The 13,935-nt window shown below is 45.1% G+C and overlaps 1 protein-coding gene across 7 annotated transcripts in view; it reads left to right on the top strand.

Moving 5' to 3' along the window:
• The window catches only part of ORC1 (origin recognition complex subunit 1), a 36,675-nt gene extending 25,049 nt beyond the window's left edge, over positions 1–11,626 (top strand). For 5 of the 7 annotated variants that reach the window (XM_047421674.1, NM_001190818.2, NM_001190819.2 and 2 more), the window contains 6 exons: positions 518–625; positions 886–1,035; positions 2,694–2,813; positions 8,856–9,025; positions 9,558–9,645; positions 11,080–11,626. In XM_047421674.1, coding sequence (XP_047277630.1) covers positions 518–625; positions 886–1,035; positions 2,694–2,813; positions 8,856–9,025; positions 9,558–9,645; positions 11,080–11,274 — 831 coding nt within the window. In that variant the 3' untranslated portion in view covers positions 11,275–11,626. The remainder of the gene's footprint in view (positions 1–517; positions 626–885; positions 1,036–2,693; positions 2,814–8,855; positions 9,026–9,557; positions 9,646–11,079) is intronic. The other 2 variants (XM_047421680.1, XM_017001388.3) reach the window with 1 other exon arrangement.

Here is a 13,935-nt window from a genome sequence, read left to right as displayed (position 1 = left end):
ATGATATACCAGGCATTGTCCTTTCTGTAGAGGTAGCAAGGGCAAGGAAGACAGAATTCTTACCCTAAGAGACTTCAAAGTCTAGGAGCTGGATAATGATTACAAGCCAGGAAGCCAGTACTTACCCACATGGTGAAAACTGTGAGCTTACAGGTAGCAGTGTGGCAACATGGAAAAGGGGTCCGTGGCAGGCCAGAGGTTAAGCCTTGCTCTTTGTCCATGGGCTGTTATTTTGGAGCAGGTAACATCCAGTTATAGAATTCTGTAATAGTGATTTTAAGGGGGCTTCTGGCCCAGCCTGTGACTCATTTGCATTTCAAACTCATATACCTTCTTTATCTTCTCTTTCGGTGCCTTCTCTTGTCCTTCCAAGTAAAGGTTAAGACTAGATTGGGAGGCAGAATATAGGATACCGAAGTCCTCAGGTTAAATGCCTCCCTCCATTTGCAGATTTAACTTTAAGCCCAAGGGAGTAAGACCCTTACAGTTCCTCACAACTGTGTTTCTCCTAATGCAGAAGCTAACAGGCCAAAAAGCAACAGCCAACCATGCGGCAGAACTGCTGGCAAAGCAATTCTGCACCCGAGGGTCACCTCAGGAAACCACCGTCCTGCTTGTGGATGAGGTGAGGTGCCCATGGGCGGACAGGAGAAGAAACAGGGCTGTACCTCAGGAGCAAGTGCTGGATGGGAGGGAGGAAAGTCCTGGCTCCCTTCTCCATTCATATGAGCCCATTTTCTGGTGCTGAGAGGCGTGTGTCAATGGATTGTTTTGGTGCTATGACTTGGGAAACATGCAGCTAAAGCAGTGGTTATAGGTCTTCATTTTGAAGCACCAGCTCAGTCTCTGTGATTGACTCTGCACCTCTCTCCTTTGCCCTGGCAGCTCGACCTTCTGTGGACTCACAAACAAGACATAATGTACAATCTCTTTGACTGGCCCACTCATAAGGAGGCCCGGCTTGTGGTCCTGGCAATTGCCAACACAATGGACCTGCCAGAGCGAATCATGATGAACCGGGTGTCCAGCCGACTGGTAGGTTCTAGGGCAGTTCCCATGCTGTTCTTGCAGATCTGTAAGCTTGGCCAAGAAGTTCTGCAAAAATGGTCCAGGTGTGGTGGCTCACGCCTGTAAACCCCGCACTTTGGGAGGCCAAGGCGGGCGGATCACTTGAGGTCAGGAGTTCAAGACCAGCCTGGCCAACACAGTGAAACCCCGTCTCTACTAAAAATACAAAAATTAGCCAGGCTAATTTTTACTTAGGAAGCTGAGGCAGGAGAATTGCTTGAACTCCGGAGGCAGAGTTTGCATTGAGTTGAGATCGTGCCACTGCACTCCAGTCTGGCAACGAAGCAAGAGTCCATCCCAAAAAAAAAAAAGTTCTGCAAAAATGAATACTAAAATAAATTGGGATGTTAAGAAATGTGATTTCTGCAATGCTTGTAGTTTCTATGTTGGAATATGTAACCATTGCATGATTTTCTGCAAACATCATATCTTGGTGTTCTGCTGCTCGTGGACTTTTAAACTGCACCAAACCATGGAGGTTTAATTATTTAAAAAAAAAATGTTTTAGGCTGGGCACAGTGGCTCACGCCTGTAATCCCAGCACTTTGGGAGGCCAAGGCAGGTGGATCACCTGAGGTCAGGAGTTCGAGACCAGCCTGACCAACATGGAGAAACCCCATCTCTACTAAACAGACAAAAATTAGCCAGGTGTGGTGACGCATGCCTGTAATCCCAGCTACTCGGGAGGCTGAGGCAGGAGAATCTCTTGAACCCGGGAGGCGGAGGTTGCGGTGAGCCAGGATCACGCCACTGCACTCCAGCCTGGGCAACAAGTGTGAAACTCTGTCTCAAAAAAAAAAAAAAAAAAAAAAAAGTTTTAGCACTTATAACCTGCCAGGCAGTGTTAGGTGCTTGGAATAATGCAATAAACCAGGCAGATGCAATGTCTGCCCTCACAGGCCTTGCAGTTCAGCAGGAAGCGCAATGAGAAATCATGAAGAGCCTGGTAAGTGAAGCCAAGTGCAGTGACAATGTATAGCATAGATCTGAAGATCCTCTCACCCACTTCAATTAAAGCACCTCAGCTTTTATCTACTTCCAAATGATTCTGATAGAATCAAAGGTCCTTAGGCCGGGCGTGGTGGCTCATGCCTATAATCCCAGTTTAGGCCGGGCGTGGTTGCTCACGCCTGTAATCCCAGCACTTTGGGAGGCCGAGGCAGGTGGATCCCGAGGTCAGGAGATCGAGACCATCCTGGCTAACACGGTGAAACTCTGTCCCTACTAAAAATACAAAAAAATTAGCTGGGCGTGGTGGTGGGCACCAGTAGTCCCAGCTACTTGGGAGGCTGAGGCAGGAGAATGACGTGAACCCAGGAGGCGGAGCTTGCAGTGAGCCGAGATCATGCCACTGCACGGTAGCCTGGGCAACAGAGCAAGACTCCGTCTCAAAGAAAAAAAAAGAATCAAAGGTCCTTAAATGAAATGAAAAAATAGTTCAAAAACTACTGCCCTACAGGACACCACTGGTCATTGTCAGTAAAGGCAGTGGTAGTCTAGGTATGAAATGTGTAATTTGTTATATGGGACCTGGGAATTGGGTTTGGGGGCCCAAGGGTGACTTTCCACCTGGATAATCACTGGGCAGTCAACCAACTTATTCCTCTGTCATTTTGGCTCCCCAGGGTCTTACCAGGATGTGCTTCCAGCCCTATACATATAGCCAGCTGCAGCAGATCCTAAGGTCCCGGCTCAAGCATCTAAAGGCCTTTGAAGATGATGCCATCCAGCTGGTAGCCAGGAAGGTAAGTCACCAGCTGCACCCATAAATCAGTCAGCACATCTTTGCTGAGTACCTGCTGGGTATGAGGCCCTATGCTGGTGCTCTGAGGTTGGAGAGAAATTTAGAAAGTCGTGTAAAAATATCAAAAAAGACAAGATTATGAGAAATTCCTTAGCCTTGTTATTTTATGATTAGAGGGCCCTAAATATTGTGGGTTTATATGCAAACTAATATGAATTCATTCAGGGAGCAAGCAGTTTTGCATGATGAAAGGGACAATATAGTCAGGTAGACAAACCTGGTTTGAATTCTGGCTTTAACGCTTAGTAGGCATGCAGAAAGTTATAGGAAAGTTACTTAAAAATTTCCTGAGCCTCAGTTTTCTTCTCTGAAGAAGAATGAGAGCACTTCCCTCATAGGGTCATTGTGAAAATATAACAATATCATGTCTATTACATGCCCAGCAAGGCACACTCTCCAGGCTAGATATGAGGTATTAGATGCCCCTCTCCTCCAAGTCTAATAGGAGAATGCTCCCTGAGAGTTCACCACAGACTAGTCTCCCCGGCTGCTGAGGAACAAAGTGGGTTAAATGTCTGCCTCAAGCAGAAAGAAAGAAAGAAAAACCGTACATCCACAAGTATTTCAGCATGTAAAATAATTATAAACTTATTTCTAGTTTCCTCTTGCCGACACACTCTTCACCCTGAATGGCTGTAGCAGCAGCACATGACTGTGACTCCTGCTTGGAACTAGCTACTGTATTAGGGACTGGGGTAAGAGGTGAGCCAATTGTGTGCCTGTCTCCAGGCTTTGCTTTCCAGGAGAGAGATCCTCAAAGTTATCATCTAGGCATTTTATGGGTAGAGTTTTTCACTTTTGCTATTATGCTATCTATCTAGACTATCTAAGAGGCTTTTTCTTTTCTTTGAATGATCCTTTTTTTATGCCACCCTTTTTTTTTTTTTTGAAACAGCATCTCACTCGGTCGCCCAGGCTGGAGTGCAGTGGCGTGATCTCAGCTCACTGCAACCTCCGCCTTCTAGGTTCAAGAGATTCTCCTGCCTCAGCCTCCTGAGTAGCTGGGATTACAGGCGTGTGCCACCATGCCCAGCTAATTTTTGTATTTTAGTAGAGATGGGGTTTTGCCATGTTGGCCAGGCTGGTCTTGAACTCCTGACCTCAGGTGATCCACCCACCTTGGCCTCCCAAAGTGCTGGGATTACAGGAGCAAGCCACTGCGCTCGGCCAATGCCATCCTATTTATTTGAAATTGTCCTTTCCCGTTTTCCTCCAAGATGCTTCTGTCAGTTGATTTTGGTCTCTATCTTGCATCGTTAGAGACTTTCCACAGTTGTCTTGGTTGTCCTCTCAGGTGTAAGGGTGGAGATTAAACAGCTGGCTCTGAACATGTGAGTGGGGCTTATTCACTATGAGATTTGCTGTGGGATGATCTGAGTGGGCCAGTATCACTGTCTTTCCTCCTTTCCCATGGGAATAGTCAGATTTCTCAGTATGCTTCCCCTGTCCTGTCTGGAGGGCAGTGTTCTGGGAATGAGGGGCTGGTGTCAGGTACAGAAGAGGTCTTCCAGTTTGGCATGCATATAGTAATCATCTATTTTTGGTAAGGGACACCTCTTCTACAATAATGCCTAGCATTCCTAGGACCAGAGACTTTTTGCTAAACTTTGCTTGAGAATAAATTTCCTTTGTTTTTTTTGTTTTTTGTTTTGAGACGGAGTCTCACTCTGTCGCCAGGCTGGAGTGCGATGGTGCAATTTCGGCTTACCGCAACCTCCACCTCCCTTGTTCAAGCCATTCTCCTGCCTCAGCCTCCCAAGTAGCTGGGACTATAGGTGCACACCACCACACCCAGCTAATTTTTGTATTTTTAGTAGAGACAGGGTTTAACCATGTTGGCCAGGCTGGTCTCAATCTCTTGACCTCCTGATCCACCCACCTCAGCCTCCCAAAGTGCTGGGATTACAGCCAATAAAACTTTTATTTATAAAAACAGATGGTGAGCCACACTTTGTTGTTTCCTGATCTAAGGCATCTTTAGTTTCTTAACGTCCTCAACTTTTTTTAACTTTCAACCACAACCAAATATTCTCTACTTTTGGCTGGGTGCGGTGGCTCACGCCTGTAATCCCAGCACTTTGGGAGGCTGAGGCAGGTGGATCACAAGGTCAAGAGATCGAGACCATCCTGGCTAACAGGGTGAAACCCTGTCTCTACTAAAAATACAAAAAATTAGCCGGGCGTGGTGGCACGAGCCTGTATTCCCAGCTACTAGGGAGGCTGAGGCAGGAGAATCGCTTGAACCTGGGAGGCTGAGGTTGCAGTGAGCCGAGATCGCACCGCTGCACTCCAGCCTGGGAGACAGAGCGAGACTCCGTCTCAGAAAAAAAAAAAAAAAAAATACCCTACTTTAGCTAAACAACCCCCCTTTACCTCTTTCCAGCACCACTAACTCCTGAGCATTTTGAGGATTTTTAATGTAACTTAGATTTGTTCTTGGATTCCTCAATATAGGTTTAGGATTTGGCTTTCTCCAGTCCACTACACTAACCGCTACTCTTCCATGTCTTTCTAACTTGCAGAATTATTATTATTATAATTTTTTTTTTTGAGACGGAGTCTCGCTCTGTCGCCCAGGCTGGAGTGCAGTGGCACAATCTCGGCTCACTGCAACCTCCACCTCTTGGGTTCATGCCATTCTCCTGCCTCAGCCTCCCGAGTAGCTGGGACTACAGGTGCCCGCCAACATGCCCAGCTAATTTTTTGTATTTTCAGTAGATACGGGGTTTCACTGTGTTAGCCAGGATGGTCTCAATCTCCTGACCTCGTGATCTGCTTGCCTTGGTCTCCCAAAGTGCTGGGATTACAGGCGTGAGCCACCGCGCCTGGCACTAACTTGCAAAATTATATTTTTAAATCTTCTCCTGATGCTTCCCTTCCTTTTAGAGTCTTGGGGTGGGTTGTTGTTGTCATTGTTTTTTGAGACAGTCTTGCTCTGTGACCCAGGCTGGAGTGCAGCAGCACAATCTTGGCTCACTGCAACCTCCGCCTCCCAGGTTCAAGCAATTCTCCTGCCTCAGCCTCCTGAGTAGCTGGGACTACAGGCAGGCACCCGCCACCATGCCCAGCTAAGTTTTGTATTTTTAGTAGAGGCGGAGTTTTACCATGTTGTCCAGGCTGGTCTTGAACTCCTGACCTCAAGTGATCTGCCTGCCTTGGCCTCCCAAAGTTAAAGGATTACAGGTGTGAGCCACTGCACCTGGCCAGAGTTTTGGTGTTTTGTTTGTTTTTTTTTTTTGAGAGGGAGTCTCACTCTGTTGCCCAGGCTGGAGTGCAGTGGCACGATCTCAGCTCACTGCAACCTCTGCCTCGTGGGTTCAAGCAATTCTCCTGCCTCAGTCTCCTGAGTAGCAGGACTACAGGCATGTGCCACCACGCCCAGCTAATTTTTTGTATTTTTAGTAGAGACGGGGTTTCACCATGTTAGCCAGGATGGTCTCTATCTCCTGACCTCGTGATCTGCCTGCTGCAGCCTCCTAAAGTGCTGGGATTACAGGCGTGAGCCACCGCGCCCCGCCCCAGCCCGGTTTTTTTAACAAAGATTCAGAAGACATCCAATTTGGATGCTGCTCTTCCTCAAATCTCTTGCCCATAGTTTCAAAGCCCTCTCTATTTCTTTACATATGACGAAGCGAATCTGTTTTATATTCTATATCCTATAGTTATGATACCTGAAGTCTTTAGGGGTCTGATTCTGATAACCATTGATTCTGCTGGTTCCCATGCATATGTGGCTTGGTTTTCTTATTTTTTTGTCTTGATTTTTATTTTATTTTACTATATGCATGGAATTCAGCATGCTCCTTTATTTGAGAGTTAATTGGGGCCTGGGTTGAAGTTGAATTCATTTAGAATTTGTTTTTTTTTTTTTTTTTTTTTGCTTCTAGGGGCACTACCAACTGTTACCATTTTTAAAATAAAATTCTCCACTTGAGAATTGTAGGAAATACAACATAAATTTGGGCTCCAAATCCAAGCAAGGGCTTATGGTTGTAAAAACTCGAGAGTGTCTGGGTAGGGTGGCTCATGCCTATAATCCCAGCACTTTGGGAGGCCAAGGTGAGAGGATCACTTGAGCCCAGGAGTTTGAGACCAGCCTGGGCAACATATTAAAACCCCGTCTCTACAAAAAATTTAAAAATTAGCCCAATGCGATGGCATGTGCCTGTAGTCCCAGCTACTTGGGAAGCTGAGGTGGGAGGATTGCTTGAGCCGAGGAGGTGGAGGCTGCAGTGAGTCATGATCATGCCACTGCACTCCAGCCTGGGTGACAGAGCAAGACCCTCTCTCAAACAAAAAAACCAACAAAAAGTCGGCTGGGCGCAGTGGGTCACACCTGTAATCCCAGCACTTTGGGAGGGTGAAACCCCATCTCTACTAAAAATACAAAAAATTAGCCAGGTGTGGTGGCAGATGCCTTTAATCTCAGCTATTCGGGAGGCTGAGGCAGGAGAATCGCTTGAACCCCACAGGTGGAGGTTGCAGTAAGCTGAGATCCCACCACTGCACTCCAGCCTGGGCATCAAGAGTGAAACTCTGTCTCAAAAATAAATAAATAAATAAAACCCAAGTTTTTTGTGTGTGCCCACATCCACCTAGCACCAAGGTCAAGTAGGCCGTTTTTCCTGCCATCCGTTCTGCGTGATGGGTCTCACTCACCCTGTACTGAGGCTGAAGTGGAGGTCAAGTTTCAGGTGCCTGCAGGATGTCCTGTTAGGTTCCATGTTGGCTGGGCCTTAGCTTCTTCTTGTGTCTCCCTTGTCCCAGCAGCAGCCCGAAGGGATGCATAGGGTTGCCAAGTGTCACTGATACCCTTGGGGTCAGACTGGTTTAGGTGTTTCCTTACCCCCCAGAGTTCCCCTTTCACTTTGTCTTGAGGCCCTTGAGTCCCTGCTATTCACCACACAAAGTGCCTCTTCACCAGGCTGTACAGGTGGTAATGGGAGGGGAGGAGAACTGACGAAGCAGGAAGGGCTACAGGACACCCTTACCAGTTCAATACTGGGGATTAGAGGAAGGGAAAAATGTAAGCCGATAGTCATGTTTGTGTCCTGGGTTACTTGGAAAGTGATTTTTTTTTTTAGATGGACTCTAGACTGGAGTGCAGTGGCGTGATCTTGGCTCACTGCAACCTCCACCTCCCAGGTTCAAGTGACTCTCCTGCCTCAGCCTCCCCAGTAGCTGAGATTACAGGCATGTGCCACCATGCCCGGCTGATTTTTGTATTTTTAGTAGAGATAGGGTTTCACCATGTTGGTCAGGCTGGTCTTAAACTTCTGACCTCAAGTGATCCACCTGCCTGGGCCTCCCAAAGTGCTAGGATTACAGGTGTGACCCACCGCGCCCCAGACCCTGGCTAATTTTTGTGTTTTTAGTAGAGATGGGGTTTCGCCATGTTGGCCAGGCTGGTCTCAAACTCCTGACCTCAGGTGATCCGCCTGCCTCGGCCTCCCAAAGTTCTGGGATTATAGGTGTGAGCCACCGCGTCCAGCCCCTTCCTACATTCTTGATTCTGGTCCTCTTAGCCATTGACCAAGCCGACCCCAAATTCACCACGTGCTGTAAGGGGTGCCTGGCTATGGCTTTATCTCCAGATAGGCTCCACCTCACCCTCTTGTCTTTGGCTGGCTGCTTCTGGGGGCACACGTCTGTCTCTATGCAAGGAGTGAGAACTCTGTTTGCAGATGCTTCAATAGTGATCTTGAACCAAGCGTCTCTGATTTTAGACTTCATTTCCTGAATAGTAAAGCTGAGAATTTCTGTGTTGTCCACTGTGGAGTTAACTGTAAAACCAAGACAGAGGTTTGGACTAGAGGATTAGAGTCCCATGCACAATGTAATAATTCATTTCTATTCTTCCTCCAGGTTCCCTGCCAGGGCTAAGTACTTAACTTTACGCTTATGTCCATTGCCAGCACTACCAAGAATCTCTTGGTTCTTCTGGGCTAAGGTGGCCTCAGGAATAAAATATTCCCTCTTGTAGGTAGCAGCACTGTCTGGAGATGCACGACGGTGCCTGGACATCTGCAGGCGTGCCACAGAGATCTGTGAGTTCTCCCAGCAGAAGCCTGACTCCCCTGGCCTGGTCACCATAGCCCACTCAATGGAAGCTGTGGATGAGATGTTTTCATCATCATACATCACGGCCATCAAGTAAGATGCTCCACTTCCTGAGCCTTCCTGGAAGGCTGTAGAAACATGTTTCCCTTTCTAAGCTTTTACTCATTCAACCTGCACTTATTAATAACACAGTTATGTTTCATAGGGACATTATCTAGTCAGGGAAACAGAAATATAACCCTAGGATAATAGAATATTTGCCACTTATTGAGCTATATTATAGGTGTTTAGGGCATAAAAGTGCTATGATAGGAACAAAAAAAAAAGGAAGCAGCTGCTTCTCTCACACTGATTGATGTGCTCAGCTCATGAAATGAGGGCACAGGTATTTATGAGTGACCAGTGTATTTCCGGATGTAGTTGCTATGTTTCCTCACTTCCACAGTGACATTTTCTGTATCAGTTTGAGAGTTTGGGGGTCAGGGAGATCCTTGCCACATAATATAGGAGAAATTATTTCCCGGGTTTTCTCTTTTCTAAAGACACAGAAAAGTTTTCTTTGGCTTTCCTCTGGGCTGGGGTTACAGCCACTGACAAAAACTCACATCCCCTCGTTTCCTTTAAGAAATTCCTCTGTTCTGGAACAGAGCTTCCTGAGAGCCATCCTCGCAGAGTTCCGTCGATCAGGACTGGAGGAAGCCACGTTTCAACAGGTGATCTCCTCCTCTTTTCAAATCCTTCTAGATTTTGGACTTACGCTTTTAAAATACATGGAAATTTCCATGAATGTGTGACACTCTATTTTGTGCCACCTAGAGTATGTGAAAGAATACCAGACCGGCACCTATTTTAATGTGACATTTTGTAGAGCTGCATGAGAAGAGACCTTTAGCGACTGGTTTCTGCATGTTAGATTGAAGGCCTGTGTGCCAGACACTGTTCAAAGAATGAGGAACAAGACAAAGTTACTCCCTGATTACAGCTTATGTTGTAGTGGAGTCAAGGCTTTCAGAATGAGGCCATATTTGAGAACAAATCACAGATCAATCCAATCCCTGCATGGGCATAGTTCAATTAGATCAAGTGAGAGGGATCAGTAGGGCATGTGCTTTGTTAGTTTACTTAAGACTCTAGTAATTGGCTGCCTTGGAAGATGAATTGTTAAAGGTGTTTATGAGTGTGTACCTGAGAGTGTGTATGTTTGTGTATGTATGTTTTAGACATCTTTATTTAACTAAAATAAGTCAGGAAAACATTTTCCTTTCAGCTACTTATTTATTGGGTTGGTTGTAAATTCTTGTTTAAAATTTTAGCTACTCGTCATGTTTTGCCCATTACTGTTCTCCTCCTAGAGTCTGAGATAGCTCTTCTGCAGAGAGTGACTTTCATTTTAGTTTGTAAACATTTCCTGAACATCTGCAGTGTGCCATTAACTGTGATGAATCCTTGAACCCCAAGCTGATTTGGTTAACATCCCTGTTCCTGACAAACTCCCAGTCTTGGGGCTGGGACGGGGATAGACTCATAGATATTTAGAATGGAAAGTGACCAGAAATGCTCCAGATTTAGCTGACCCAGTAGAGAACGTTAGGGTAGGAATCTATGTTTCCAGCTATCCTCCTGCCTCCCTTTATTTCTTTATTCAATTTTCTCTCTAGGCCTTTGTGCTTTTCCAAGGGTCATGCCTTGGCATTTGCTCACTGTACCTGATAAGGAAAGTGGCCTTGTAGCAAAATTTGACTTGAATTTTGACAGTCTCAATTATGAAACTCTCAGCCCCTGGAGACAAGACTATTTGTATCACCAGTGAGAGTTACTAGTCATTTTATATCCATTAACTCACAAGGGATGTACAGTGTATTTTATAGATAAAATTGAAGCTCAAAAGAGTGCAGTAACTTGGCCAGGTCTACATATTTAGGTAAATGGTAGCACCAGGATTCGGGCCTGCTGTTTTCTGATTCCAAGGCTAGCATTCCATTCTGCCTCTGCATTTTGTGTACCACTGGGGCACCAACTGATGCCTTCTGGAGTGTTTGATATCCTGGGGGCCATGTGTCTGATTTTCCCAAATGAAGAAAGAAAGGAACAGAAAAAGCCCCAGGATTGTATTTCCTCTTAACCTTTGCCTTGCTATTTGTGTCTAGATATATAGTCAACATGTGGCACTGTGCAGAATGGAGGGACTGCCGTACCCCACCATGTCAGAGACCATGGCCGTGTGTTCTCACCTGGGCTCCTGTCGCCTCCTGCTTGTGGAGCCCAGCAGGAACGATCTGCTCCTTCGGGTGCGGCTCAACGTCAGCCAGGATGATGTGCTGTATGCGCTGAAAGACGAGTAAAGGGGCTTCACAAGTTAAAAGACTGGGGTCTTGCTGGGTTTTGTTTTTTGAGACAGGGTCTTGCTCTGTCGCCCAGGCTGGAGTGCAGTGGCACGATCATGGCTCACTGCAGCCTTGACTTCTCAGGCTTAGGTGACCCCCCAACCTCATCCTCCCAGGTGGCTGAAACTACAGGCACATGCCACCATGCCCAGCTGATTTTTTGTAGAGACAGGGCTTCACCATGTTGCCAAGCTAGTCTACAAAGCATCTGATTTTGGAAGTACATGGAATTGTTGTAACAAAGTATATTGAATGGAAATGGCTCTCATGTATTTTGGAATTTTCCATTAAATAATTTGCTTTTTCCTGAGTGTTTGTGAAGTTATTACATTATAATCATTACAAACATCTGATTATGAAACCAAACTGTCCTTCCTACAATAGTCCTTCCATGTGACTTTTATTTCTGTTACTAGGCCTGCCATTTATTTAATGCTAACATATATAAAATATAAGTACACGATTTACTTGTATCTATATAAAATAGTTCTGGGAGAGTATGCAAAAAACTGGTTACACTGATTACCTCTGGAAAGAATCAGATGGAAAGAATCAGATGGCCAGGGTTAGGGGTTAGAGGAGGACTTTTCACTGTATGTCATTATCTGTCTTAAGTTTCAAATAATATAAATAAAATTTAGGCCAGGGGCGGTGGCTCACACCTGTAATCCCAGCACTTTGGGAGGCCGAGGCAGGTGGATCAGGAGATCGAGACCATCCTGGCTAACACGGTGAAACCCTGTCTCTACTAAAAATACAAAAAAATTAGCCAGTTGTGGTGGCGGGCGCCTGTAGTCCAGCTACTCGGGAGGCTGAGGCAGGAGAGTGGCATGAACCCGGGAGGCGGAGCTTGCAGTGAGCTGAGATCGCGCCACTGCACTCCAGCCTGAGCGACAGAGTGAAACTCCGTCTCAAAAATAAATAAATAAATAAATAAATAAAATATAGTTTATAAAAAAGGAACTACTGGAAATAATATAAATCATAAGTAATCTCTAGCCACAAATAGCTAGAAAGTGTAATTTTTACAAAGGTACCATTTACCATAAAAACAAAACAAACCTTTAAATACAAAAGATTTATATGTCACAGAAAATATAAGGTACTTAGAAATAAATTGATTTAAATATTTATTTATTTATTTATTTTTTCCCTCTGTCACCAAGGCTGGAATGCAGTAATGGATCATAGCTCACTCCAGCCTTAACCTCCTGGGTTCAAGTAATCCTGCCTCAGCCTCCTAAGTAGCTGGGATTCCAGGTGTGGGCCACCATGTCCGTCTCCTAGGAATAAGTCTAATAAAGAGATGCAAGTAATCTCTAGATAGAAATCAATTCCAATCAAAATCTTGGCAAGGTTTCTTGTATGACTTTGCAGTTAATTCTAATATTTATATGGAAACCAACAACAGGCAATGAACATCTAAAACCTCATGAAGTACTGAGGCTGGGCGTGGGTGGCTCATGCCGGTAATCCCAACACTTTGGGAGGCCAAGGCGGGTGGATCACCTGAGGTCAGGAGTTCGAGACCAGCCTGATCAATATGGTGAAATCTCGTTTCTACTAAAAATGCAAAAATTAGTCTGGCGTGGTGGTGTCACCTGTAGTCCCAGCTACTTGGGAGTCAGGAGAATTGCTTGAACCCACCCAGGAGGCAGAGGTTGCAGTGAGCTGAGATCACACCATTGCACTCCAGCCTGGGCGACAGAGCAAGACTCCGTCTGAAAAAAATAAATAAAACCTAATATGAGGTACTGAAAAAAAACAGCCCCACCCGTGTACTAGTCCTGTCAGAAATGCTTGTCCTAAATTTACTGATGAGAAAATTATCAGACAAATCTAAATTTAGGGAGAAACTCTGCAAAGCAGCTGTTCAACTCATTGAAAATACTAATATCACAAGAAAAAAAACACAAAACATGGAGGAACTATTCTACACCAAAGGAGAATAGAGACATGAGAGCTAAATGCACTATATAAACCTTGACTGGGTCCTGGATTTAGGAAATATAAACAATTATAAACATTATTAACTATGTATTAGACAGAAGTATTTTGTAAGTGTTAAATTCCCCGAGCGTGATAAATTTGTGATTATGTAGGAGAATGCTGTTCTTAGGAGATTCATAATGAAATATTTATAAGTGATGTATTATGTCTGCAACTCATTCTCAAATCATTTAGCAAAAATATGTATTTCTATATTCACATATGTATTTATAATTACATATAATGGATTGAGGATCAATATCAATATTTTTAAAACTGCAATGAAAAAGAAAAAATGAGCCAGGCACAGTGGTTCATACCTGTAATCCCAGCATTTTGGGAGGCCAAGGCAGGTAGATCACCTGAGGTCAGGAATTCGAGACCAGCTCGGCCAACATGGTGAAGCCCCATCTCTACTAAAAATACAAAAATTAGCCAGGGGTGATGGTGTGCACCTGTAATCTCAGCTACAGGGGTGCTGAGGCAAAAGAATTGCTTGAACCCAGGAGGCAGAGGTTGCAGTGAGCCAAGATTGTGCCACTGCATTCCAGCCTGGGCAACAGAGCAAGACTGTCTCAGAAAAAAAAAAGAAGGAAAAAGAAAAAAATGGGTAAATAACAAATAAGTCAT

Source organism: Homo sapiens, chromosome 1, assembly GCF_000001405.40.
Source record: "Homo sapiens chromosome 1, GRCh38.p14 Primary Assembly".
Lineage (NCBI taxonomy): Eukaryota > Metazoa > Chordata > Mammalia > Primates > Hominidae > Homo > Homo sapiens.
Note: the sequence above shows the minus strand (reverse complement) of the source record. Positions and strands in the feature narration are given on the sequence as shown.